Source organism: Homo sapiens, chromosome 2, assembly GCF_000001405.40.
Source record: "Homo sapiens chromosome 2, GRCh38.p14 Primary Assembly".
Classification (NCBI taxonomy): Eukaryota; Metazoa; Chordata; class Mammalia; order Primates; family Hominidae; genus Homo; species Homo sapiens.
In genome coordinates this window covers 68,129,805-68,147,405 of record NC_000002.12, presented here as the reverse complement: position 1 = coordinate 68,147,405, position 17,601 = coordinate 68,129,805, and the positions used below count along the sequence as shown (strand labels likewise).

Here is a 17,601-nt window from a genome sequence, read left to right as displayed (position 1 = left end):
ACTCTTTCTCTGAAAGAGAGAATTTTAATTTTAAAATCTTTCTATGTTCCATTTTAACTATAAAAATATGAGAATTGTCTCTAATATATATTTCTAGATTTCATATTCAAAATCCATTAAAAAATACTAACCTATTTTTCTTTAGATATTTTGGATAATATTATCAATGCTTATTTTCACACACGCAGTTTGGTGCTAGCATTTAATGCCATGTATTTGTAAATAAAGGTCTGTTCCCCCTCCAACTTTAAAAATACAGTATATAAAAATGCATATGAATAACACTGAAAAAGTAGATATTATTTATATTTCAGCAAGAGATTTAGCACTGCAGAACGTTTGTTTTTTAAAGCTTTAACATCTAAGCACAACTTTTTAGAAACATATCTGTTGAACAAATCAAAATAAACTTTTTTTGAATGGGCAAAATCACAATTCTGCCAAATGCCTTTTTCGTGTTTTACCTAGAGTTGTTTCTTATTTAGAGTGGAATGAATTGAAATTCCTTTTTAATTACTTTGCAGGAAAATCTATTATTTTAATCATTTAAAGTATACAGCAGTGTTCTAAAATATTATGGAGAAAGTTCTAGAGTGTTCTAGAAAACCCGTCTTCCCTGCATCATGTTTTCTAACATGACCTTTCTTGAGTCTCACTTAGAACCTGCTACTGTATAATTACATTACTTATAACATATTTATCTGTCTTAGAATCATAACATTAAACAAAATGGAACTACTTCAATTTCTCCTTGCTTTAACTCCTTAATAATTAAATTAGCATGTATTCATTAGTTCTTAGATGCTTTGTCATATGCTTCGAGAGATACTGTGAGAAAGGCAAGTTTGAATGCTATTTTAAAAAATAAATATATTTCAACACAAGAGTATTCAAAATATTAGATAGTACCATTGACCATCTTTCTAATACAGTTTCCTAGTATAGTACAGATATTACCAATTTACTTTCATTGATAAATCTTATAATTTCATGTTAAAAAATAATGTTTTAAAGTCTATAAAATAGTAAAACAGTCATTTCAAGTAGAACCACAATCTTGTTTAATCTCTTGATTAGTTCATAATGATGATAAATGTCATTTCTAAACTAGGTTGAAATATCTCAAAAAATTTTTTTTGTCTTTGAGATGGAGTCTCGCTCTGTTGCCTAGGCTGGAGTGTAGTGATGCGATCTCGGCTCACTGCAACCTCCACCTCCCGGTTTCAAGTGATTCTCCTGCCTCAGCCTCCCAAGTAGCTAGGATTACAGGTGCCCACCACCACGCCTGGCAATTTTTTGTGTTTTTAGTAGAGATGGGGTTTCGCCATGTTGGCCAGGCTAGTCTCGAACTCCTGACCTCAGGTGATCTACTCACCTTGACCTCCCAAAGTTCTGGGATTACAGGCGTGAGCCACTGCACCTGGCCATAGATTTTTTATTAGTAAGGTTTTACTAATAAATCTTGGCCCAATAATAAATTGGAATTATATTTCATGTATAGTCACATTCATTTAAAAAATCTGTAAGTTATTGAAAACTAAATTATTAAGAGAAATGTAAATAGAAGTTTCCGTAGAAAAGCAAAAGAAGGGGAGAAATGGAGACGGGTAAGAAAAGGAATGTGTGAGGATCACCTAGTCAAGCCATTCATTGCCCAGTAGTGCAGTTGTGGTAATCAGTACTTTCCTGAATGCCTTTCTGTGAATTGACCTATTAGACGAACTTCAGCCTGTCTTGCAGTAATACATATTGTTACCAGTATGATGACACACTGAAAAATATGTCAGTAGAAAATCAGTGTGGACTTCAGTGGGAAAATAGTACATTATAAAGGAAGAAATGTGTACAAAGTAAACACTACTCATATTTTATCCTTTAAAAAGGTCATAAGATCCAACTACTGAGGCCTACTTTGGAAGAATTCTATATCACTTTGAATTTACATATATATATATTTAGATAGAAATATACTAGCTGCGTTTTAACAAAAACCTTTGCATATTTGGTGGATGGAATTTAACAATGAGTATGATGATTTAGTAAGGCCAGCTAATGGTGTCCATCTTCTATTCACCTCCCATATTTTTGTAACAGCCACTAAAACCCAGAATTGAAAAAAACTGTCCTGAGAGCCACGTCCTCAGATACATGGTTGTTTTTTTCCTTTTCTTTCTTTTTTTTTTTTTCTGAAACAGGGTCTTGCTCTGTCACCCAGGCTGGAGGGCAGTGGCATGATCTCAGCTCACTGCAGCCTTGACCTCCCTGGGCTTTACTCTATATTTGAAGCAGTATTTTTTCAGACTTCAGTGTACCACAGTCATTGTTTTGGGGACCCATCTGAAATCCTGATTCATTATGTTTGGGGAGGAGCCCATGAGTCCACGTTTATCAACAAGCAAACCTGGTAATTCATCTGTGGGGGTCTTGCATAGATCGTCTTTGAAGAACACTAAGTATGGTGAGCTCAGGATTGGAATTTCAAGTTGAATGATGACAGTTCTCAATGGGGGCTTGAAAGAAGTTGAATGGAGAGAAAATTTCAGAAGTGTAAATAAATGTATAAACTATCTTCATAGCAAAACCTTAATTTCTATACAGAAAAAATCTAACTATAATATATCTTTTTGAATTTCAGTAGTAGACTTATATGTTTGGGATATGTGGTGTAAGAAGCTGTGTTTGTTGTTTAGGAATTTAGAAGCTCCAGAGATGCCAGTATATTCTGTAAAGGGCCATAAAGAAATTATAAATGCCATAGATGGCATAGGTGGACTAGGAATTGGAGAAGGAGCACCTGAAATTGTGACTGGCAGCCGAGATGGTGAGTCCCTGTATTCTATGTATTTTGTTTATTTATTTTAATGGAAATCTCTATGCAGCAGTACATCCTCTCTGAGTAAAAAATCCCCTTCAGTCACCTTGACTCCCTAAATCTAACAGTCTTGCTGCTACTTTTTTAACAGACAAGTTTGATTGCTTATCTCTCGATTGTTTCAGACTTTTGGCTATTTTGAGATAGATTCATAGCACTTATTAACACTATTTTAGTGTTGAGCTGGTTCAGCTACTAACAATGATGGTTTCCTCTGAACCTTGAAGGATTTAAAATGTCTTTACAGGTTTTTGAGGCAGCTGACGATATAATGTGGGTGGCAGCTTTTCATTTTCTTTTTTTAAAAGGCAGAATTAGTACTTGTGAAAATTGTCATATTGACAGCTGCTTGAAAACTGAAGTTCTGTGATCCATCCACTAAGCATTATAGAGAGTTCCAAAGGCACCAACTCAGCTCTTCCACCCTGCAGTGACCAACAAGGGCCAGGTCTTTTGGTGTCCGAAGTGGTACTGCATGACTTTAATAGAGTCAGAAATGTTGTTGCTTCACGAGGGGTACATGAGAAATTTGGTACCTATTATAATTGATTTGGCTAGTTGTTTAATGGCCGCTCAAGACCATGAGGAAATTGCTTTAAAGGAAAAGTGAGATATAATTTTCTAGTGGGTACTCAAGAGCAGCTGTGTTTTAGAAATCACTTATTTTTTTTAATCATAAAAGCAATATTGAGTATAGAGGGAAAAATAACATTCAGTCTACCACACTACCACAACCATTAGATTTTTCTTTTCCTTTTAGGTCTTATATATAATTTTGCATAGTTATAAGTGTGAATATGAATTTGTATCTTAGAAACTTTTTTTATTTAATGTTTTGTCATATGCAAATGTTGCTGTTTCCACAGTTATCATTTTAATGACTATATAATATTCCATCATATGGCCGTACTTAACCATTCCCTTATAAGCCTTTGGTTTGCTTTTTTTATTTGTTGTCTTATGAGAGTGGCTTAAAAATAATGAGTAAATGAGTATTGTCATATGTGTAACTCTTTTGGAATAAATATATTTTATGATTTTTTAAAAAATTTATTGGGCCAGGTACAGTCACGCCTATAATCCCACAACTTTGGGGGCTGAGGCGGGCGGATAACTTGAGACCAGGAGTTTGAGACCAGCCTGGGCAACATAGCGAAACCCTGTCTCTTCTAAAATACAAAAATTAGCCAGGTGTGGTGGCACACACCTGTAATCACAGCTACTCAGGAGGCTGAGACACAAGTTTTGCTTGAACCTGGCAGTGGGAGGTTGAAGTGGGCTGAGATCTTATCAATTTGTATGAATCCTATAGAGAAAGATAATCTCTTATCTCTATATCTGGGATTTTTTTTTTCTTTTTAAAACAGGCTTTTGGTGGGTGCAGTGGCTCATCTCTGTAATCCCAGCACTTGGGAGGCTGAGGTGGGAAGATCACTTGAAACCAGCTTGGGCAACATAGGGAGACCCCATCTTTACAAAAACTAAAAATTAGCCAGGCATGGTGGTATAGTCCCAGCTACTTGGGAGGCTGAGGTAGGAGGATCACTTGGACCCAGGAGGTCAAGGCTACAGTGAACCATGATCGCACGACTGCACTCCATCCTGGGTGACAGAGCAAGACCCTGTCTCTAAATAAATAAATATTAAAGTAAAGCAGCCTTTTAATGATCAACTTTATTTTATCCCTGGAGATAAATCTAATGTTGTACCTCCACCTTTCCTGAGTTGTTTTCCTTTTAAGGATTTTTTTTTTTTTGCCCTTTTCTTATTCTCAGGTACTTGCCTTTTAGCCATTTTATTACATGCATTTGCATTTTTTGTAGGTAGTGACACTATTTTAGTAAGTAGTCCCATAACATGAATTAAAACAAGGGGGTTGAAATTAAATTGAGAATTTGTTAATTTTATTTAACATTTTCCTCTTCACTATTGCCACAGGAAAATTAAACTTAACTGTATATGAAATAGTATTCTAGGCCAGGCACAGTGGCTCACGCCGGTAATCCCAGCACTTTGGGAAGCCCAGGCAGGTGGATCACCTGAGGTCAGGAGTTTGAGACCAGCCTGGCCAACATGGCAATACCCCATTTCTACTAAAAAAGTACAAAATTTAGCTGGGCGTGGTGGTGCATGCCTGTAGTCCCAGCTACTTGGGAGGCTGAGGACGGAGAATCGCTTAAACCCAGGAGGCGGAGGTTGCAGTGAGCCAAGATCACGCCATTGCATTCCTGGGCGACAGAGTGAGACTCCATCTCAAAACAAAAGAAAGAAAGAAAGAAAAAGAAATAGTATTCTAGAACTCACATAAGAAACCATTAATTCAAAATTAGAGTGTATTCATGCCAATGGTTAAAATGGGTAATAAGGAAAAAAGTAAAAATTAAAACAACACTGGTATTTTCCCTAAAAAATAACACATTCATTTTAGGCTCATGATTTGAATTACGTAACATTCACATTTGCCTTGTCAGTCATCACTCGTAGATAACTTAGGAACACTTGTTGGCTTTTCTGTGTGTCTATTAATTTGGAAACCAAGTCAGATAGTTACATATGGGTGATATCTCTGATATTAAATACAACTTACCCAATTAGAAGTCAGAACAATGTGGATATTTTCAGATGTCATAACATCTGTCATATTGCCATGTACACAGGAAGCCATAGAAGAAGAATGTAGAAAAGAAACATAATCATTTACTTTTGAATTTTTGCCAACTCACTTTTATGCATGGCAGGAACTGTGAAGGTGTGGGACCCAAGGCAAAAAGATGATCCTGTTGCTAATATGGAACCTGTACAAGGAGAAAACAAGAGAGACTGTTGGACTGTGGCATTTGGTAAATTATTGAAGAATTCTTGCATTTGAATTATCAGATGGTAAAAAGCACGATGCTGCAAGAAATTTCACAGTAGTCTCTTTATGGTCTGTTTTGTGGATTATTCTAATAGTTTACTGAGGCAAATACACGTGGTGGTTAATGTCAGCCTCTGGGGCCTGAGTTTGAATTCTCACCTGCTACTTATTGGCCATGTGGCCTGGAGCAAGTTACCAAAGTTATCTGTTCCTTGGATGTTTCATTTATAAAATGGAATTAATAATAGAATTTACTTAGTTGTGTTGTCATGAAGAGTCAATGAGTTAATTACATGTAAAGTGCTGAGAATTGTGCTTATTATTATGTGTTCCTGTTTAACTAGATAATATTGACCTAATTTAAAGTCAGACACCATTAATGGGGATAAACCAAGCCTCAAATGCAAACAGTTACCTAACAAATCATACATTACGCTATATACGGAGTATGTTTATTTTCTAGAAAATAGTTTGCCATTACAAAGTTATTTCTTATAAATTTTGATAACTGTATTCCTTCATTAATTTACTTAAAATGAATATTGACTTTGGAAGACTAATTGACATTTGCCCTTTGATATGGTTTGGATCTATGTCCCCACCAAATCTCATGTCCAATTGTAATCCCCAGTGTTGGAGGTGGGGCCTGGTGGGAGGTGATTAATGGGGGCGGAGTTCTCATGAATGGTTTAACACATCCTCCCGTATACTTTAAATCATCTCTAGATTACTTATAATACCTAATATAATATAAATGCTGTGTCAGTCATTGTTGTATTGTTTAGGGAATAATGACAAGCACAAGAAGTCTGTACGTTTTTAGTGTAGATGCAAATTTTTTTCCAAATATTTTCGATCCATTGTTGGTTGCCTATAGATGCAGAACCCATGGATAGGGAGGGCCAACGGTAGAAGAGAGTAATAGTAGGAATATCCTTAGAGATGGCTCAGGACAATGGCCAGAGGTGTTAGGACGGCCTGAAGATAGTTCTAAGTTTTTGATGGTGTTTGCAAGGAAGAGATGAAATCCGAGCTTTAGGAAAATGAACTAGTGGTATTTAGCGGGAGTGATGAGTGGTACAGAGAATATGAGTTCAAGAGCTCTTTGCAGTATTCCAGGGAAGACCTAAGTTACAAGCACTGAGAAGGGAGCAGAGTGGATGATTCAGAAGATAATATTATGCAGAATACATAGAATTTGGGAATGTTTTTGGATATGAAGAACAAAGAAAAGGATAATGTCCAAGATGACTGAGTTTTCAGGCTGATTGTGGGGTGAATGATGGTATTAATTGAAAAAATTATACAAGGGGTGGGATAATTTGTAAAGGAAAATGGTAAGGTCATTTTGGGACATCATGAGTTTAAGATGATGGTGTACCATCTAGGTGGGGCCCACAGTGGAAATGCAGGGCTGGAGTTTATGAGAAAAACGAAGTTAGGGGCAATGAAAGCATTGGGATAGGATGCCCAGATAGCATAGCACAGTGACAGGGGCCTCCTTCTCACTTAACACTCTTTCCTCAGCAAGAGATACTTGGAAAAAAATCCTTGAATTAATTCCAGGAGGATGAGTTTAACCACAGATTATAAACTTACTTCAGGTATGATCATCCACACTACTAAAAATATGTCACAGTGTGCTACAACTTATTTCAGATTTCCTTGTAAAGATGGAATCACACCAGAGCAACATTTTTCAAGATAAATTAGTTTTAAAGTTTCTGTTTGCATTCAAATATAGTTACTGCCAAGAAAGCAATAGAGGTATAACTGTATTTATTCTCTGAGACCCCTTTGTGTTTGAGCTGTAGTTGGCCTGCTAGCCTTTGCAGATATAGTAGAAAGCATTTTCTTTTCTTTTTTTTTTTTTGAGACAGAGTCTCGCTTTGTTGCCCAGGCTGGAGTGCATTGGCGCGATCTTGGTTCACTGCAAGCTCTGCCTCCCAGGTTCATGCCATTCTCCTGCCTCAGCCTCCCGAGTAGCTGGGACTACAGGCGCCTGCCACCACACCCGGCTAATTTTTTGTATTTTTTTCTTTTTTTTTTTTTTTTAGTAGAGACAGGGTTTCACTGTGTTAGCCAGGATGGTCTCGATCTCCTATAAAGCATTTTATTTAAATTGAATTCAATAAACACTTTCACATATCCTTTCAGTATGGAATTACAGTGAATGAGCTTATATTAGTTAGTCTGCTTTGCATTGAATTGCTTTATTGCTATAAAGGAATACCTGAGACTGGGTAGTTTATAAAGAAAAGAGTTTTATTTGGCTCATGATTCTGCAAGAGTATCCAAGAAGCATGGTGCCAGTATCTGCTCCTGGTGAGACCTCAGGAATTGTCTGCTCATGGCAGAAGGCAAAAGGGGAGCAGGCATGTCACATGGCGAGAGAGGGAGCAAGAGAGAGGGGAGGAGGGAGGTGCCAGACTCTTTAACAACCAGACCTCACATGAACTAGAAGAGCGAAAACTCATTACCATAAGGACTGCACTGAGCCATTCACGAGGGATCCAGCCCCATGACCCAGCACCTCCCATCAGGCCCCACCTCCGACATTGGGGATCATACGTCAACATCAGATTTGGGGGGACAAATATCCAAACTCTTATCAGAAATTTAAACAAAACAAAAAACTAATGGATACCACATTAATAATCTTGATGTCCTCTCAGGATTGGTAAGATGGGATACTACCCAGTGTGATTTTTAAGATCTGATTTAATATAAGTTTTATGTTAGTTTCATAAGACTTTTTTAAAGCAGCCTTTATAAGGATGCATTTATAAGGATGTGAAATGTTGTATCTTGATTTCCAGGCAATGCTTATAATCAAGAAGAACGTGTTGTTTGTGCTGGCTATGACAATGGGGATATCAAACTATTTGATCTCAGAAATATGGCATTACGGTGGGAGACAAACATCAAAAATGGGGTAAAGTACATTCTGAGGCTTTTTGGTTTCTCTGAGCATGTTTCCATTCACCTCTGAACTATTACAAAAGGAAAACACCTCTAGTAACTCATCTGAGTCAACCCCTCTGCCAACGGTTCTTAACTTTTTGAGGCCAAATCCGTTTGAGAATCTAATGAAAATCCTGGATCCTCTCTTCAGAAAATGAGCTCACACCCACATGTGGTTTGCACAGCGTTGGGGGAGTCACCAGCCCCTTCAGCCTGTCTGCAGACCCCTGTGGGCCATGTAGTAAGATTTCAAAATAAGCAAGTAAAAGGTCTTTTTATGCCAATATCAGAAAGCCTGAAACAGTAGTCACCTCCCCAGCTCAGATTTTTGGTTCCTTAGTTGTGCACCTTTAGCAAAGAATGTGGTTTCCTCCTGTTTTCTACTGTTAGCCTTTACTTAACTGTTAAATAATGTAAAAAGTTAAATAATGATTCCCCAAAGGCATTCACTGAGCATGGGAACCCAAGATTGTTTTGTTGATCTTACTAATGGAAAAAAAAAATGGGTTTTTTGTTTGTTTGTTTGTTTGTTTGTTTTGAGATGGAGTCTTGCTCTGTCGCCCAGGCTGGAGTGCAGTGGCGCGATGTTGGCTCACTGCAAGCTCTGCCTCCCAGGTTCATGCCATTCTCCTGCCTCAGCCTCCCGAGTAACTGGGACTACAGGCGCCTGTCACCATGCCCGGCTAATTTTTCATATTTTTTAGTAGAGACGGGGTTTCATCGTGTTAGCCAGGATGGTCTCAATCTCCTGACCTCATGATCTGCCTGCCTTGGCCTCCCAAAGTGCTGGGATTACAGGCGTGAGCCACTGTGCCTGGCCAAAAAAAAAAAAAATGTTTTTTTTTTGAGACAGAGTCTCACTCTGTCGCCCAGGATGGAGTGCAGTGGCATGATCTTAGCTCACTGCAACCTCTGCCTCCCGGGTTCAAGCAATTCTCCTGCCTCAGCCTCCCAAGTAGCTGGGACTACAGGCGCACGCCACCACGCCTGGCTAATTTTTGTATTTTTAGTAGAGACAGGGTTTCACCATGTAGGTCAGGCTGGTCTTGATCTCCTGACTTCGTGATCCACCTGCCTTGGCCTCCCAAAGTGCTGGGATTACAGGCATAAGCCACCGCGCCTGGCTGGAAAAAAATTTTTATGGGAAAAGTTAAAAGATAAATGATTGTTGGAGTGCTTTCACATTATCTGACCATTTTAAAGCTGTTTTACTTAGTATAAAAGAGCCTCCTGAGTAATACTGGTGAGACTACCAATAATAAGTATTCTCTGTTTTCAGGTGTGTAGCTTGGAGTTTGACAGAAAAGACATAAGTATGAATAAGTTAGTAGCCACATCTCTGGAAGGAAAGTTCCATGTTTTTGACATGAGAACACAGCATCCAACCAAAGGTTTTGCCTCTGTTTCAGAAAAGGTAAATATGAGGGAAATGTCTTTCTATGAAGAAGAATGATAGCTTGGTTTAGACTGATAAGTAGAATTAGTCACCAAGGTTTCTTCCAGGTCTTTATGTGAAGGGAGCTATTTTTGATATATTCCTGTGAGATCTTGACAAGTTTTTCTGTGCAAAGAGTACTTCCCCAAAGTTTATCAACTTTAGACTTCTTGATTATAATAAAGATCTCAGGTAGGAATCTTATTTTGTAGTTTAGGAGCAATTAGAAGAAACCTAGCTGATATTAGGAATTTGATCAACAAAACCCAGCCTGGTGTTTCCTAATAAGTATATAATATTTGTGCTAATACCTGGTTATATATTTTTCAAAATAAACTATATGTACATGATGTCATTTCATTACACTTTGTTTTATATTCCAGTTTGCTATATTAAATGAAATTATTTGAATCACTGAGTACTGTGATTATAGTAAATGTTCAAAAATATTTACTTACTTAACTTTGCCTTGCATTTGAGGTAGCTGAGAGGGAAATGCGGTATTATGGCGTTAGACCAATAGATGAGGAAAGCAGGGCAAAGGGAAAATACTGGTTTAAAAAAAAGATAGTTTCTGGACTGGGGGGATTACAGAAAATTCATGCAGAAAGGTCCTGTCATTCACAAGAAATGGATTGGAAATGTGATTTGAACTTCCTCAAGTATAAAAAGAAAGAAAGATCAGTTACAGATTCCTTGTTTCCATAAGATTAAAATATACAAGTTGCTCAGGAAGTGAGAACTTACTCCGTTGCTTCTCTCTCTCCTGTGGATTCAGTAGGATTTCTTGAACCTTTCTATTTTGTCTCATTATTATTATTGTGTGTAAATTATTGTCACTTCCTTATGAAAACCAAATTCTTAACAAGATAGCTATAAATTATAATATTGGTTTGCTTTTGTCATTTCAGAATATATTAAGTATCTATCAACAACATAAATCACTTTACTAAACTGTTCCATGTATAATTTGCAACACATATTTCATTATCTATACATAATAGTGTCATCTCTGGTTTTTTGTTTTGTTTGTTTGGCTTTTTTTTTTTTTTTTTTTCTGGAGACAGAATCTTGCCCTCTTACCCAGGCTGGTGTGCAGTGGCATGATTATGGCTCACTGCAGTCTCAAACTCCTGGGCTCAAGTGATCCTCCTGCCTCAGCCTCCCAAGTAGCTGGGAGTACAGGCACACGCCACCATATCTGGCTAATTAGATTTTTTTTTTTTCATAGAGTCAGAGTCTTGCTGTGTTGCCCAGTCTGGACTTGAAACCTGACCTCAAGTGATCCTCCTGCCTCAGCCTCCCAAAGTGCTGGGATTATGGGCGTGAGCCACTATACCTGGCCCAGTTTTTTAAAATTATATTTAGTTAATCCAGTAATTGCTAAATCTGCCAAATAGAAGACTCTGGTGTATTTTAAGAGGTCATTTCCCCTCTTGCTTTTTGTGTTTTTCTCAACTTCCTGAAGAAGAAGAGAAGTTTAAGCTACAAAATAAAATGTTTCGACAGCTTGAACCTAATCACTGAGAGACTGTTACACACTCAAAATGTGTGTTTTGAGATATGAGTCTTTATCTGCTAATGGTAATTCTCTCAAAAGACTATTGAAATCAAAGGTCAAGACTAATCACTCACTAAAATGTGGTGTACCACGATAGCCAGCCCCACTGCTTCTACAAAGCAGCAGTCATTCATTCCCTCCCGCCTCCTTTCTCTCTCTCCCTCTGTCTCTCTCTCTCTCCTAAGTTCCCCCCAGTTAATGCAGTGGCGCCGGGATGGATTTACTGGCTGCTTTTGAGGTGCTAACAACCTGTTAACCTTCCAGTTGCTGGTTTTTAATCTTTTAGTCTAATGTGAATGATAAAGACCTTAGCTTATTATGACCATAAACATTGTCTGTAAGTCCTCATGGTCCTTATTTTGAAGACTGGACAGGTAAATGGCAATAAATTGAAAATAAGGCTCTGGGAGCTGTTAGTTAAATTTCGGTCTATAAATTTTAGTTAAAATTCAGTCTATGTACTTATTGCTGAGTTTTGCTGTGAACCTCAAACTGCTCTCAGAACTAAAGTGTATTTTTTTAATTCAGTCCACATTTTTCGTATATATAAACAAAAGTATATGTTTTTATATTTTGAGTGTTTTCCCCCTCAGAATGAACTAGAGGTATTTAAATATGTAAAATCTATTTTCATAAGTATTTGATACTATAAACTTAAATGGATTTTAATACCTGTCTTTTTAAAAATCCAGTAGAACTTTGTTTCATAAAGCAATAAAGAAAAATGATGCTTTTTCTAATTTCTTATGTGTTCCTATAAATCTCTATAGCCATTATAAAGAGATGTGCCAGAAAATAACCTTAATTACTTTTATAACCATTGAAATTATAGTTGTAAGAGTTTTTTATTTGCAGCGTTTCTCTTCCAGGGCACCATTTAGCATATAAACCAGTTGTATGCCTCTTGTTCTATTTAGGCTCATAAATCTACTGTGTGGCAGGTCCGACACCTGCCGCAGAACAGGGAGCTCTTTCTGACAGCTGGAGGCGCCGGCGGCCTTCACCTCTGGAAGTAGTAAGTCTGCCAGTGCACACTGCTCCTTTTAAAGTTACCTGTGGGTGTAAAGTAGGATTAGATTGAACTTTTTTTTCTTTTTTTTCCTGCTTTGACTTAGTTCATTTTGATATGATTTAAAATTTCATGGTGTTACATAACTTGTTTTCTAAGCATTTTGTATGAATATACTTTACACTTAGTAGAGTGTACACTAATCTTCTTTTGATACATTTTAGTATATCATTTTAGTTGTGTCTTCTAAGTATGAAAAAGTTGGCCCAAGACTTTTATCAGATACTATCTTGAAGTGATTAGAACACTCACTGCCTCTAAAAGATGGGGAAAGGGTTCCTTGCCTAAATTTAGATAACATCATTGTGATAGACCCCAACAGAGCCTGAGGCTGCTGATTGGTCTCCAGGAAAGATCTTATCACTGAATTTGCTTTCTGCATATCTAGGCAGGGTGAGTTACAATGAAAGCTTTTACTATGCACACCACTTTCTGAATCCCAAGGGCGCTAACATCACAGATACTAGATCATTTAAAAGGTCTGATATCATTGCTCAGGGTTGGCCTGTGAAAAGGAAACAAAACAAAACAAAACAAAAATTAAAGGTCTGATAAAAATTGTGAGTTAATGGTATTTCTGAATACTTTATTAGCTAAGCAATATGTACTTGGAGGGGAAAAATTATATCTTTCTTAAACATCACTCAGGGAAAAAACAGCAAGCCCATAAATGAAGGATATTTCAAAAATAAAGTTTCATTAATAATGTAAGAAGAAAAACACCATCCTCAATATATCTGGGACTTTCACATTTATAAAATTCTTCTCTATTAGCTCCTTTGAGAAGCTGGAAGGGGTTCTGAAAAACAGGGCTACAGTTGGAAAGTACTTGTTAAAGTACTGTGTGCAGGGATACCGCTGACAAAAAGCAGATCGAATGCTTTATCTTATATTTTCTGACAAAGTCTTGCTCTGTCACCCAGGCTGGAGTGCAGTGGCATGATCTCGTCTCACCGCAGACTCCACCTCCAGGTTCAAGGGGTTCTCCTGCCTCAGCCTCCCGAGTAACTAGGATTACAGGTGCCCGCCACGACGCCTGGCTAATTTTTGTATTTTTAGTAGAGACGGGGTTTCACCATGTTGGCCAGGCTGATCTCGAACTCCTGACCTCAGGTGATTCACCTGCCTCGGCCTCCCACAGTATTGGAATTATGGGTGTGAGCCACTGCACCCAGCCAGAGTGAACACTTTAGATCGAAGCAGTATGATTATGGCAAAACCGGGTCTCTACTAAAAATACAAGAACTAGCCGGGCGTGGTGGCACACGTCCCAGCTACTTAGGAGGCTGAGGCACGAGAATTGCCTGAATCTGGGAGGTGGAGGTCTCAGTGAGTCGAGATCGCACCACTGCACTCCAACCTGGGTGACAGAGTGAGACAGAGCGACAGAGACTTTTTCTGTCTCAACAAACAAACAAACAAACAAACAACCAATATGGTTTCTGAGTGAAAAGCAGAGGAAAAGTTTGAGTCGTTCTGGGAGAATGTGGGGTAGAGAGATCACTTGCTACTTTCCCTTCTTCTAGCACCTCTGCCTGTTGTTCTTCCCTGATTCTTCCATCCCGGTCTCCTCCCCACGTTAGACTCTGCCAGTCCCCTTAGTGAAGCCATGTGGTGGCACATCACTATTTTACTTGGTGACCAAACTCTTTAGGCTGCTCGCTTGAAGAACTAGTCCCAGTTTTCTTTGTAATCTACACATGGATTTGTATTCCATGAGGCACACGAACACTTTCGCAGCTGGAATTTTTTACTACAGCGGATTTAGTTCCGTCAGTAAAGTTAGGTCTGTATGCAAATTTGAAGTTTAGCGCAATGTAAACTTTACACCTAACCAGAACAGATGTCCAGTCTAATCTTCAAATCGGTTTGGAGTTTTACTGTCAAGTATTGTACCAGCAAAGGGAATTGGTTTAAGTACAATGATATTTAGCTTTATTTTCATTTGCCAGTCTGTCTTGGTAGTAATGCAATTAAATTGTAAATATTTATTGACCACTGAACGAACAGCTTCTACAAGAAATCATCTAGTTATTCACGACTTGTTTTTTGAATGAAAAACTTCAACATGCTGATTTTTTTTCCAAGTATTTGAATCATATACACATATTCTTTTAAAACTTCAACAGATAATATGGAGGGTTTTAAAAATTTTTTATGTTATCTTTTGAATACTAAATAACTGCAGCCTTTGCCAAGAGATATGTGAAAGGTGTCTGTATTTAAACCATTTATTCATCTGAATGTTTTATTTTTTTTCATCAAAATGATTTGTAGGGTTTGAGAGGAAGAGAAAATAGTAGATCATCCACCTGTAGATTCTTCTTCCCTTTCCATTCTGCTTCTGATTGGCTTTGTGCTTCTTACGTTCTTGGCCTTTGCCAGCATGTATGAAATAAAGATGTTGTCATAATTGATACTAGTAGGTTTTAAAAGGCCTTCTGAGGAGTGATACTTTTGTATTTTATTAGGAACACATCTCTATTGGGGAGGAGTGTTCTCTTTCCCCTTTTCAAATCTAGACCAAATAGGATTTATGACTTTAACCTTCTGCTTTTCTTACTGTATAAATTTATATTTTCAGCTGAAAAAAAAAATGTTCTCAGAACCACTTTTTTCTTGTTTGAAACAATTACATTTAGGTCTAACATCTCCACCCTGTGACGCCTTCCCATAGAAATGGTACACAAAAGGTCCTTAGGCTTGGGTCCGTGTAATGGAGCTCGAGGGTTAGAAGCTGGCATCAGTTTTTCATTCTGGAAGTGTTTAGATGAAGTTCTGCAAATGTTACTTACAGCCATTGCCTTTGCACATTGTTTGCCTGTGATATCCAGCAATCTATATCTGGAGAAAAATTACAATAAATAAAAGATTGCCAAAAGCACCAAGTAAATGTATTAAAGAATCCTAGATCAACCTAGAACTTTCATATTAAAAGAGAAAATACAGATACACGTTGAGCAGAAATGACTTTTAGAAGTTTTTAGTAGAACTAATAACCCTTTTTTATGACGTGTTTTGGGATAGGATTGAGGTTGAAATTGTCTCTTTATTTGCAAACAACTCAGTATTAGAAAGATTCTTTAAGTATTTATTAGTCCCAGTAACCAACTGAGAAATAGAGTCATTGAAGTGTATGTATAAAAATAAAATGGTGAAAGCTAAGATTTATGCGCTCTTACCATTTTGATCTTGTTTTCAGTGAATACCCTATTCAGCGGTCAAAGAAAGATTCTGAGGGAATAGAAATGGGAGTCGCAGGTTCTGTAAGCCTTCTGCAGAATGTTACGTTGTCCACCCAGCCCATTTCAAGTTTGGATTGGAGTCCAGATAAAAGGGGTCTCTGCGTCTGTAGTTCATTTGACCAAACGGTGAGAGTACTGATCGTTACAAAGCTCAATAAAATTTGACTTCAAGACTTTGGACTTGAGGCTGGGCACGGTGGCTCACTCCTGTAATCCCAGCACTTTGGGAGGCCGAGGCGGGTGGATCAGAAGGTCAGGAGATCGAGACCATCCTGGCTAACATGGTGAAACCCCGTCTCTACTAAAAATATAAAAAAAAATTTGCTGGGTGTCATGGCGGGCATCTGTAGTCCTAGCTACTTGGGAGGCTGAGGCAGGAGAATGGCGTGAACCCGGGAGGCGGAGGTTGCAGTGAGCCGAGATTGTGCCACTGCACTCCAGCCTGGGCAACTGAGCAAGACTGTCTCAAAAAAAAAAAAAAAAAAAAAGACTTTGGACTTGAAACCTTCCAGAGGAACACTCACACAATTTAAGATAGGTTCTGGAGTCCTCTGACCCTCATTGAACAAAGCTGGATTTGGCTGATGATAAAAGACCCCAGCCACAAGCCTCTGGGCCAGCCTCCAGCCTCTCTCGGGGCTTGTTTGCTGACTTGCTGCTGCACGTGGGTATCAGAAGCACCAAGTAAACTATCTCCAGGGCCAGTTCTTTTCTCTCCCTTCCATTTCTAAGTCAATAGTTGTCTATAATTAAACATATTTCAGATTTGTTCTGTGTCCCTGAAGTTCCATATTTTATCTTTATGCTTGTGTTATGTTTTAGTGTCTATAATGTTGTGGTGGGAATCATTTCATTTGGTTTAAAAGAGTTTGCCTTGGAAAAACTGAATTAACCTTCATAAATACATTTTGAGAGATTTCAGTGTGAGTAATTTTCTGGACATAATATTATTGTATAAAATATCAAAATGGTGGGCCAGGCGTGGTAGCTCACGCCTGTAATTCCAGCACTTTGGGAGGCTGAGGCGGGTGAATCACGAGGTCAGGAATTCGAGACCAGCCTGGCCAACATGGTCAAAACCCGTCTCTACTAAAAATACAAAAAATTAGCTGGGCTTAGTGGCGGGCGCCTGTAATCACAGCTACTTGGGAGGCTGAGGCAGGAGAATCACTTGAACCCAGGAGGTGGAGATTGCAGTGAGCTGAGATTGCGCCACTGCACTCCAGCCCTGGCGACAGAGTGAGACTCCGTCTCAAAAAAAAAAAAAACAAATATATATATATATATCTCTCTCTCTCAAAACGGCACGGTTGGTCTAGATTTGGGTAGCTATTTTCTGCAATTTAATTCATAAAACAAAATGCTTTGATTTTAAAGAGCTCTTTTTTACTTAAAATACAGGAACTGAATTGGTGAGACTTTTGGTTTTTGACTGTGGTAAGTGATGGTGAAATGTACAAGATTGTAGGGGTTTTGTAGTCTTATTTTTGGTCATACTTTAAAAATGCATTTTATGAATAAACTTCTGTTTTTGAGATCTACAGAAGCTTTGATTCTGTTACCTTAACAGTAGTAATAAAGTTAACATTGTCACATCA

General features: G+C 38.0%; 1 protein-coding gene across 3 annotated transcripts in view; it reads left to right on the top strand.

Moving 5' to 3' along the window:
* Positions 1-17,601, top strand: part of DNAAF10 (dynein axonemal assembly factor 10) — a 27,723-nt gene extending 10,122 nt beyond the window's left edge. For 2 of the 3 annotated variants that reach the window (NR_046234.2, NM_001256476.2), the window contains exons 3-7: positions 2,691-2,821; positions 5,611-5,712; positions 8,549-8,664; positions 9,973-10,107; positions 12,607-13,322. Coding sequence is in view for 2 of the 3 variants with exons in the window: in NM_001256476.2 (NP_001243405.1) it covers positions 2,691-2,821; positions 5,611-5,712; positions 8,549-8,664; positions 9,973-10,107; positions 12,607-12,705 (583 nt within the window). In the remaining variant the exon portion in view is untranslated. Of the gene's footprint in view, positions 1-2,690; positions 2,822-5,610; positions 5,713-8,548; positions 8,665-9,972; positions 10,108-12,606; positions 13,323-15,960 lie in introns of those variants that run through there. The other variant, NM_138458.4, reaches the window with a different exon arrangement.